General features: G+C 36.0%; 1 annotated feature.

Annotated features, from left to right (window-relative positions):
- Window positions 1,744-1,888: a silencer, noted in NCBI's record as "fragment chr10:83399505-83399649 (GRCh37/hg19 assembly coordinates)". NCBI's record gives its function as "represses an EF-1alpha promoter that drives an FKBP-Casp9 reporter gene in an ReSE screen in K562 erythroleukemia cells {active_cell/tissue: K562}" and the evidence as "EXISTENCE:reporter gene assay evidence [ECO:0000049][PMID:32094911]".

Here is a 12,285-nt window from a genome sequence, read left to right as displayed (position 1 = left end):
AGATCAATAACAGGTTCTGAAATTGAGGCAATAATTAATAGCCTACCAACCAAAAAAAGTTCAAGACCAGATGGATTCATAGCCCAATTCCACCAGAGGTAAAAAGAGGAGTTGGTGCCATTCCTTCTGAAACTATTTCAATCAATACAAAAAGAGGGAATCCTCTCTAACTCATTTTATGAGGCCAGCATTATCCTGATACCAAAACCTCGCAGAGACACAACAAAAAAAGAGAAAATTTTGCACCAAAATTCCTGGTGAACATCGATGTGAAAATCCTCAATAAAATACTGGCAACCTGAATCCAGCAGTACGTCAAAAACTTATCCACCACAATCAAGTCGGCTTTATCCCTGGGAAGCAACGCTGGTTCAACATACGAAAATTAATAAATGTAATCCATCACATAAACAGAACCATTGACAAAAACTACATGATTATCTCAATAGATGCAGAAAAGGCCTTGGACAAAATTCGACAGCCCTTCACGCTAAAAACTCTCAATAAATTAGGTATTGATGGGACGTATCTCAAAATAATAAGAGCTATCTATGACAAACCCACAGCCAATATCATACTGAATGGGCAAAAACTGGAAGCATTCCCTTTGAAAACTGGCACGACAGGGATGCCCTCTCTCACCACTCCTATTCCACACAGTGTTGGAAGTTCTGGCCAGGGCAATCAGGCAGGAGAAGGAAATAAAGGGTATTCAAGTAGGAAAAGAGGAAGTCAAATTGTTCCTGTTTGCAGATGACATGATTGTATATTTATAAAACCCCATTATCTCAGCCCAAAATCTCCTTAAGCTGATAAGCAACTTCAGCAGTCTCAGGATACAAAATCAATGTGCAAAAATCACAAGAATTCCTATACACCAATAACAGATAAACAGAGAGCCAAATCATGAGTGAAGTCCCATTCACAACTGCTACAAAGAGAATGAAATACCTAGGAATACAACTTACAAGGGATGTGAAGGACCTCTTCAAGGAGAACTACAAACCACTGCTCAATGAAATAAAAGAGGACACAAACAAATGGAAGAACATTCCATGCTCATGGGTAGGAAGAATCAATATCATGAAAATGGCCATACTGCCCAAGGTAATTTATAGATTCAATGCCATTGCCATCAAGCTATCAATGACTCTCTTCACACAGTTGGAAAAAACTACTTTAAAGTTCATATGGAACCAAAAAAGAGCCCACATTGTCAAGACAATCCTAAGCAAAAAGAAGAAAGCTGGAGGCATCATGCTACCTGACTTCAAACTATACTACAAGGCTACAGTAACCAAAACAGCATGGTACTGGTACCACAACAGATATATAGACCAATGGAACAGAACAGAGGCCTCAGAAATAGCACCACACATCCACAACCATCTGATCTTTGACAAAGCTGACAAAACAAGAAATGGGTAAAGGATTCCCTGTTTAATAAAGAAAACTGGCTAGCCATATGTAGAAAGCTGAAACTGGATCCCTTCCTTACACCTTACACAAAAATTAACTCAAGATTGCTTAAAGACTTAAATGTAAGACCTAAAACCATAAAAACCCTAGAAGAAAACCTAGACAATACCATTCAGGACATAGGCACCATGGGCAAAGACTTCATGACTAAAACACCAAAAGCAATGGCAACAAAAGCCAAAATAGGTAAATGAAATCTAATTAAACTAAAGAGCTTCTGCACTGCAAAAGAAACTATCATCAGAGTGAACAGGCAACCTACAGAATGGGAGAAAATTTTTGCAATCTACCCATCTGACAAAGGGCTAATATCCAGAATCTACAAAGAACTTAAACAAATTTACAAGAAAAAACAACCCCATAAAAAATGGCAAAGGATATGAACCAACACTTCTCAAAAGAAGACATTTATGCAGCCTACAGACACATGAAAAAATGCTCATCATCACTGGTCATCAGGGAAATGCAAATCAAAACCACAATGAGATACCATCTCATGACAGTTAAAATGGTGATCATTAAGAAGTCAGGAAACAACAGATTCTGGAGAGGATGTGGAGAAATAGGAACACTTTTACACTGGTGGTGGGAGTGTAAATTAGTTCAACCATTGTGGAAGACAGTGTGGAGATTCCTCAAGGATCTAGAACTAGAAATACCATTTGACCCAGCCATCCCATTACTGGGTATATACCCAGAGGATTATAAATCATTCTACTATAAAGACACACACACACACACGTATGTTTATTGTGGCACTATTCACAGTAGCAAAGACTTGGAACCAACCCAAATGTCCATCAATGATAGACTAGATTAAGAAAATATGGCACATATACATCATGGAATACTATGCAGCCATAAAAAAGGAGGAGTTCATGTCCTTTGCAGGGACATGGATGAAGCTGGAAACCATCATTCTCAGTAAACTATCACAAGGACAGAAAAGCAAACACTGCATGTTCTCACTCTTAGGTGGGAATTGAACAGTGAGAACACATGGACACAGGGTGGTGAACGTCACACCGTGTCGGGGGCTGGGGGGCTAGGGGAGGGATAGCATTAGGAGAAATACCTAATGTAAATGACGAGTTGATGGGTGCAGCAAACCAATATGGCACATGTATACCTATGTAACAAACCTGCACATTGTGCGCATGTACCCTAGAATTTAAAGTATAATAAAAAATATTAAGTACTATTTTCTCATTTACTACTCAGTTCTAAGTCACTATTTCCGTGTTGCCTTTGCCCTTCCTTCTGGTTTTGTAACACCCATGTGGAATTTGCATGTCACTAGAGAAAGGTGTTGAAAGAGAACAGGGCATGTGCATGGTTTCTGGCATTGGTGACTACTGTTGCTGGCTATTAAGGTAACTAAAGGAATTAGTGCCTGAGATAGGGTAAAAGAGAAGATCATTAGAGGAGGGCACATCAAATCGCTGGAAGACTAAATATTAGAAGAATTCTCTACATGTATGTCAAAACAGCAAATAATTAAATATATTAATTATTTAGAAAAAAATAATAGCACGGGCAGAATATGTAGCTGGCTTGGCTATCTGGGACTCCTATGCCTTCCTGGCATATAGATGATTCTACAGAGGTTTATAAACCTTTGTTGCTATCCCAGGGAAGTGGTATATTTTATAGTCTCTGCTCCTGGGTTACCCTTTCTTTGTTTGATGGCCATTCAGGAAATCTGAACTGACATTCATCAAGCCAGCTTATGTTTTCTGAAAATGCCTGTAGTTTAGTCTGGGTCCCAGGAATAGAACTAGAAGTAAGATAAAAAGAAAGAGAATGTACTAAAGCCTAAAACTAATAGTATGGTTCCTGGATAGCATATCCTATGGATTTAGTAGTTTAATTTAAGCTGGGTGGTGCATCCATTTCAAACTACACCCTTTATTTTTTTACTCAGATTGGGATATAAGCTTTTTAGGAGCCCCAGACAGCCTAAGAAAACAGCTGCTTTAGATAATCTTGTTTGTGATGAGTTTTGAAAATGCAAGAAGAGAGAATACTTAAGGTACTGTATCATCTGGAAGACATACATAGCTACAACAACATACAAGTGTCACTTCCACCACACTTCTGAAAACAGGTGGGACATAAATTTCTGATAGAATATGGCAACAGATTCTTCCTAATTTTCTGCCTTCTCTCATTCACATGCCCTGTTCCATGAAAGATAATTAAATATTTATTTCAGGCTAAATGAGCACTTACAATAATTTTGATAAAACTATGCCTAGATATCTAAACTACCCATCAATTTGACTTGTCAGTATCAGAGTAACACTAGGACAAACTGTCGACAAGCAAGTAGCGTAGGAACCATGGATGCTGAAACAGAGCTAAAGCCAGCTGTCTTTTACCTTGTTCAGGATGTGATAGAGAAAACCTCTGAGAATCTGTAACTTACTGCTAATGTGGGGTCTAGGAAGGCCTGGGAGGTGCATTCTATCAGATATGATAGGGAAAAGAAATCTGTGGTATTCATTACTCAGTCTCCTTGACAACGAGACCAGATGCCCCATTCATAAACTATGATACTATTTACTTAATATGACTTTCAGTGATACACTTTAGGCGGTTGTGTATTATGTACTTATAAGTATGTACTTATTCAGGTGTGATCTTATAATTCCCTCACATGGTTATGGGTACTAAACTGCTTACTAAGGGTGGAAATGTATGGAAGCTGTATTACTGACCTATGACATTAGAAACTCCAGCATTACTTTCTGTACCTTCATCATAATAAAAGGGCAAAGACCCTTGTTGCCCATTTTTCCTGCTCTGGGGTAGATTAAAAGGTAACCTACTTAAAAGATTAAAAGGTGATTATGACAGATAATGCCAATTAGTACTCACTTTCTCTCCCCTTCTTCCTTTGTAATAGAACCTTCAATAGAACATGACCATTCAACTGAAGACTTCATTACCCTCCATTTCCTGATGTTACATATGGCTATACAGTTAAGTTTCTACCAAAAGACTTTGAGCATACACAGTGAGTACCATTTCTTGGCCCTGCCTTTAAAGAACATATATATAATTCACTTGCCTTGCTCTCCGTTCCCTGTTTAGGAAGAATGTTATGATGACATGAACTGAAGCAACAATTTTAGACTGTGAGATGAAATCCACATGTTTAAGATGGCAGAACAGCAAACCAGAAGGAGCCTGGATCTGCAGTGACAGCCCTGGATTCTTAGGCTTGTACTGATGTATGGGGAAGAAACAAACTTCTGCTTATTTAAGCTATAATGTGTTATTTTGATGTTAGATTCAATAAATAAACTGGTCATCTGAATATTATAGCAGCAAGTGGCTGCTTTCTAGAGTATGTTTGAAAGGCTAATTTAGTGGGAACTCTTGTTACTCATGTAAAAATATCATCATGACACTCATGAGACACAGAATTTGGTAGTTTCATAAGAACATAAACTAACAATTATTTTAAAAGTAGTTTCATATTTGAATGTGGAGCCAGCCAAGCATGGTGGCGCGTACCTGTAGTCCCAACTACTTGAGAGGCTGAGGTGGGAGGATTGCATGAGGCCAGGAGTTTGAGGCTGCAGTGGGCTATATTCATGTCAGTGAATAGCCACTGCACTCCAGCCTGGTCAATAGGGCAAGACCCTGTCTCTACACAAAATAATAATAAGAAAAAAAGAAATTGGAATCATTGCTATCCTTGTGTATGAAGTGTACTTGTATACCAGATATTCAAGGGTGAGGAAGTCAAGCTGATGCATGGGGTCATCTTCTTTCTACTTTTGCCCATTTTCAGGGTAGTGTGTGGGGAGAACAAGAAAACCCAGGACTGAATTAACCAAGAGAAATCCAAAACAAGTAAAGGGAACCTCACTCTATCCTTTACAGAAAACAGAAGAAAGGAAAAGTTACTCTGACTCTTAGAGGGTGACTCTAACAGTTGTGAGTAGGAGTAAGAATCCCATAACACTAACAGAAGGAGGCCCTGAACTCTCTTCCGTATATCTTAATATGGACACTTCAGCATTTGAATCTGCGGAGGAACCTGGTCCATTTGGGTGGGATACACATTCAGTCATTTATTCAGTTATCATTTAAGTCTCTACCTAATAAAGAATCTAAACCAATAAATAAGAATTCATGTCTTATTACTTGTCTGTACTGTTGGCTGAGCTTAGGAGCTGTTGATTAAAAAAAAATGTTGTATTGGCCAGACGTGGTGGCTCACACCTGTAATCCCAGCACTTTGGGAGGCCGAGGTGGGCAGATCACAAGATCAGGAGATCGAGACTATCCTGGCTAACACGGTGAAATCCCGTCTCTACTAAAAATACAAAAAATTAGCCGGGTGTGGTGGTGGGCACCTGTAGTCCCAGCTACTCAGGAGGCTGAGGCAGGAGAATGGCGTGAACCCGGGAGGCAGAGCTTGCAGTGAGCCAAGATTGTGCCACTGCACTCCAGCCTGGGCGATAGAGCGAGACTCCGTCTCAAAAAAAAAAAAAATGTTGTATCACCTCCACCTCATAAAGCCTATATTCTAGAACCTAACTGTAGGCTGTAAAGATTAGAGAGTTTATAATTTATTATGTAAGTGTTACATTGCTCCCCTTAAATGAAAGACAATTTCTAGTTCACATGCATTTATTGTTCATAAATTTGTCCATTTTTTTTGGAGATCAATCAAGAACTCTCCTTTTTTTTTGGAAAATAGTGAGAATTTGTATATTTCTTATGCTTTATTTATTTTATTGAAATTCTGCCCACCTTTCTAAATACCCCTCTGTTAAAGGAATTTACTCTGCAGTTGGGAACTTCAGTAGTGAATTTATATTCATACTATTTTATGCTAAACTAAAAATTTTGACAGTCACTAATGGTACAGTAATGAAATAATAATAGGTCCAATTTTCTGGTTATACAAAGGGAGAAAATTGTTCTACTTCTTGAAAGTGTTGAGCTAATTGGAGAAGATAGTTGGGGGTAATCAAAATGGTTCATTCTGATAAGAAGGTAGCTGCAGTAATTTTATTTTTCTTTTGCATATTGATTATCTCTATCTCTATGGTAATTAGTGAGATCAAATACTCATTTAATAATTAATTGCATTTCATCATTTAATAAAAATCTTTTCAGGCACTGATCACAAGGAAATTCTATAATGAATTATTTCACATTAACTCTAAACTCATTGGGCTATTTAGTTTATGTAACATCAAGTAAGCTACTATTAACTTTGGGTGAGAGCTGGACACAATGGCTCGCTTCTGTAATCTCAATACTTTAGGAGGCAGAGGTATGAGAATTGCTTGAGGCCAAGAGTTTAAACAAGCCTGGGCAACATAGTAAGACCTCATTTTTACTGGAAATTGTAAAAATTAGCTTAGTGTGGTGGTGTACATCTGTAGTCCCAGCTACTTGGGAGGCTGGGGTGGGTGGGTGGCTTGAGCCCAGGAGTCTGAGACTGCAGTTTGTTGTGACTGTGGCACTGCACTCTAGCCTGGGAGAAAGAAGGGGATCCCTATCTCTAAAGAAAGAAAACAACAACTTAAAATAGGATGTAAATGGAAAGAAATCCCTCTAAGGGGTTTAGATAAACTGATAAGAGGCAAATTAGGATCTTTGTGTAAAAAATTATTATATTTTGGAAAAAACCATATAATTCACCAAGTCCCTCATTTTATATCTGCTTCATTTTACAGGGGGCAGACTGTACATAGTTGAAAAGAAATTACCTTCTCCAGATCATAAGTGAGTAAGATTTCATAAGATAGATCTGGATATGTTTTGACAGTTTGATAGTATTACTGCAAGTTAATTATCCCAAAGTTATTTCTATTATTAGAGTAAGAATTCTGAGTTGACTTATTTCCTCTTGTCTTACATAGTTTGAAATTTTTTTATTATTGGTTCTACATAATTAACCAATAGTTGGTCTTTCTTGAAGAGGTCACTGGAAATTGATTTTTATATCTGAAATTTTAATCCACTTTTGAAAATGTGGAAACTACATCATAGAGAGATTAAATAGCTTTCTTAAGGTCATATCTAGCTGAAGCTAGAATTCAAAAATTAGTTTTCTGAATTTAAACATTTACTATTTTGGGGATATTCTGTAAATGTAGAAGTCAAGAACCTAATATATTTGCAGGATAGATTGTGATTCACAGTTTATTTTTTCTTCATTTTAAGTCTTATACTTTATATATATGGTGATTATATTGGAACTGGATAGAGACCAGAGAAATTTTTAGTAGTTGTCAAAACTATCAAACATTTGCTCAAAACTAACCTATTTAGTTCTTACTATTAAAAAAGTGAACTAAAGAGGATTAAATAGCTGGACCATCCAGATTGGCATCCTCCATCTAAATTCTTAAACTCAAGAAGAATCTCCACCAGATTTGGTTTAGTGTCGATATTATTTATTTTCAAAAGATGCTATCTGTTGGGGTAGTGAGAATAATCATACTGGCATTTCTACACAGCAGTTATTTTTGGCATGTGGTAGATGCCAGAAAACTACATGTTACTTGGAGTGAGGGCTATTACAAGTTCTGATATAATCAGATAGATTTAAGTTCTACTGGCTCTATTATTAATTGCTTTGTGCACTTGAGTAAGTAAAGAAATGTCTCTAATCCTACAGATTTGGGAATGGTAATATTCTTAAAGTGTTACTCTGAAATGGTCCATTCCAAAGTCTGATTGATGGTAGGTGACCTCTATATTCTTATTTCCTTTGGTAGAACTTGAAACTAAACATGGTGGGGCAAATAGGGATTAAAAGGCAATGAAGAATTAATTTATCTATTTTCACCAAAATGCCTTTGTTGCTTGTTGTTATTTTATCCTAATTGCACAGCTATTGTAGAATTTTATTAATTCAATTCTTAGCCTCAGAAAGGTTGGGATTCTTTCCCTGGCTTTGGCCCTCTCCAGTGAGTGTTATTCAGTTGTACTGGGTCTCAGTTTCTTCAATTGTGGATGGGGAAATATCTTCCTTATAGTGTTATCTTAAGGTTTAACTAAGACTAAATGTCATAACAATAGTGAAAACAATTTTTCAATTATATAGTGCAATATAAATGCACAGGCTGTTTTTTCACTTTTATTATTATGATTATTATTTCCAGTTCCTATGACTTTGGAGACCTATGAAAAGACACTTAACAAAAATTTACTAAACATTAACATGCCTGCTTTTTTTAATACAACCAAGTCGAAAAACCCCAAGGGAACGGGCTATAAAAAAAAACACAAAAGCAGAACTAATAAAAGCACTTGTGTTTTCTCTGAAATAAATATTTAATAATGTATACTATATTATAAAATCTGTAAAATTTTGAAAAAAGAGTAAGATAGTTAAGTTAAATCCTACCTTCTTTGCAATTCTATAATCAGCCCTTTTAAAATATGATAAATGTGACATTCTATTTAAGATCGCAAGTAGTCTGTTCAAAGAATTATCTTTCAGAGTTCTCACCTTGTTTTCCATAATTCCTAACAAAATCACATCTCCTATTTATGTGGAAACTATTTGCTCCAAATGCTATTTCTTCCTCTGATCTTATAATCAGGCTGAGATGTGCTCTTGCTAGTGTGTCACAGCAGTAACCACAACCAAGAGCTCAGAATTTCTAAACCTGATTAGTTTCTGCAATTTATATTTCATCTCTGAAATATCAGTCTTTAAATAGATTGAGAACTGTGCATGTTGAAATGAAATTTACACATTTAACAACTGAAGAAGATCGTTCGTTTTTTAAAGAAATTAATTCACTTCTAATGTAGGATGAAAGACTGTCTGAATCATTCATTAGTTTAACCTTTTCCATCTTCTAAAAATCAACCCATCCTTTACAGGACAATACTGAGAGAGTATAATTTCCCATACACCTAATAGTTAATCAAAATAGTTCCTTAAATATTTATTAGGAATTTTCACTTTAAACATTTGTTTTACCAGAGTACTAATATATGAGTATCAGACAAATCTAAAATAAATAAAATGTATTGAGTTAGTACTTTATGAGTCATTCTTTTGAAATTTCCCCTTAGCTATACAAGTTTTGGAAAAAAAGCTCTTCTAACTAACATTAAGACAGGACACCTTTTGCAAGCTTTTGTAAAAATAAAGAAAAAAACTAAAATCTTACATAAGTAAATATTTAAGATACAAAATATTTAAAGACAGAGAAAATCTGCCAGATGAACCCTCTGATGGAAGAGGCTTAATCCCTCTTCTAATCCCCAAGGGTTTAAGAGCCAAGCAATTGTACAAAATTGAAAACTGGACATCTGTCTCTATGACATGGTGGACATAGTGTCTGTGTGTGTGTCTCTCTCTGTGCGTGTGTGTGTCTGCCTGCATATGTGTGCACTTGCATGCATACATAGTTCTTGCATGTCCACCTCACTTCTATTACTTCTCATTTAACTAAGATTTGATAACAATATCATCAACCAAAATTGGGACAGGGTGTAGAAGGCTCTGAAAGTCAGATATTACTCTGTTTATTACCTGTGATATGGTTGGTAAGAAAAATGATGATGCTTTATAGAAATGGCAGTTTTTACTGTTTATTGATTTTAGTGTTAGATAATTCAAATTCACTTTTTGGACAAATTTTTGTCCAAAAATTTGAATGCAATCGATCCAGTTACTGATCACATTTTGTTAATGTTGCCCTTTACAACAAAAGCCTCTTCAAACCTCAGATTCAAAAGGTAATAAGATTATCCTTTGATAAAACATCTGAATTTTTAAATGTTTTTAATATTTTAATTTCAAATATTGCATTTAATATATAATATATAAAATTGAGTATGCATTGAGCCTGAACCAACAGCTAGAGTGCTTTAACCACTTTATATGTATTATTATATTTAATATTCACAGCAATTATATGCAAATGAGATTCATATTATACCTATTTTTCAGATGATGACACTGGGGCATCATCTGAAAGGAGATGATAAGTATAGAGAGGATAAGTACGTTGCTCAATATTGTTGCTTTGTGTGTGAAAATGTAGGTGATTGAGGCAGAAGTCAATTTGAGCCTAGATCTTCTAGTGCTCTTTAATTTGCCAATTTAAAGACACAAAGTTCTGTCTTTTTTGTCTCCATTATCTGTCTTCCTCATTTTTCAACTTCTCTGAAATTTGTTTAAAGTCCTTGTACTTTTCTTCTACATTGTTATAGAACATCTTAAATTTTTCTTTACATAACAAATTCAATATTCTGAATGTTACACCGTTTAATTTTCTTTGATGAATTCATGTTTTTCCTTACTTTAACAATTCTACTCATTTTAAATTACTTCATCAAGAGTGGAAAGCCCATATTTTCTCACACTTTTTTCTCTGAATCATCATCATCATTGTTGTCGTTGTCATTGTCATCATTACCCTGTTCCTTTGGTACTATACCTAGTCCATTATCCTCTGTGGAGAATTTGCTATATGTCTCATGGCTTCATGGGGAGGAAACTCCTACTTCTCTCATGGCTTGTCTATGCTTTCCAGAACTAACAACAAAAATTAATTCTGCATTCGCTGTGTTTGCCTGGTTTTTACTTCTTTTCTTGCAACACTGCTACAGTTCAGAGGAGTTCCCATAGTTAATCCAAAAACTATATAATTTCTGTAGATGTCACCAATTTCTAGTTGCAGTTATAATGTACTTTCTGCCCTATTATTGTTTCTATTTGGTAATTTTAGTAAGATTTCATATGACCGGCTAAGACATTTGTTTTTCTGTCCCCATTGCTTTCCTAAAGTCAAAGTTTCATGTCCTCTTAATGCTTATGAAGGGCGTAATTAGATTGTACTCGATTTTTTCCCTCACAATAGAGAAGTTTATGAAGGAGATAATACCAATACAGTCCCCTAGATTTCAAGTGATTTTTTCTCTTATATCTTTTTTTTAATACATTGAAATACATTAAACTGGTGCAAGTTATTGTTTAAATTTTACTATTCCAGACGAAGATAGCAGGAGTTGGGCTAGTTAGGCAAGGATAGGCTGCAGTAACAAATAGATCCAAATGTATAATTTGTCAACATAATAGAAATGTTTTGATTTCCCTCAGCAAGGTATATTGTGGTTGCAGTTTTCTGGGCAGGAGAGTGGGAAGGATGAAGAAACTATATTCAACACACTCATTTGAGACTTCATGCTGTGAGTAGCTCTGTTGTCTTTAACACATGGATTCCTAGATTCTTTAGACTGCTGTCAGTCAACACGGAGAGCAATAATGTGAGGCAGCACAGGAAAGTTTTAATGGCCAGGTCTGGAAGTGTCATATAGCACCATCTGCTCATATTACATAAACTTTAGCTGACTGAAAGAGAGTCTGGGAAATACCGTCTATCTGTGTTCCTAGAAAGAGGAAACATTTTGGCTTGGGGGGAATATCTAGCAGCATACTTTATTCCATATAGTTTTGTACTACCTAATTAGAAGCTTGTCACTTTCTATATGTGGCTTACATGTCCATGTGTGTAGTGTATATGCTCAGAACAAATGTTGCCTTGAGTTTCCTTTGTACTTGTAAGGAGAACCTCTTGCCTCTGTAGGGGATCTTTCCATGAGGACTCCACATAAGGAGATACTTTCCACGGATAATGGAAAGATATGAAACTACTCATCCCCAACTTCCAGAATCTGTTACTTCCAATGCTTTCATATTATGTATAATTGTGTTAGTTGCACTTCACTGGTGTCTGTGCTCTAACTTTTCTACGTAACTGTTCTTCCACAGCTTAGAGACTTGAGGACTAGTCTATTCTTTGCAAA

This window comes from Homo sapiens, chromosome 10 (genome assembly GCF_000001405.40).
Source record: "Homo sapiens chromosome 10, GRCh38.p14 Primary Assembly".
In the NCBI taxonomy this organism is placed as follows: domain Eukaryota; kingdom Metazoa; phylum Chordata; class Mammalia; order Primates; family Hominidae; genus Homo; species Homo sapiens.
The sequence above is the reverse complement of the archived record's forward strand: the minus strand, read 5'-3'. Positions and strand labels throughout refer to the sequence as shown.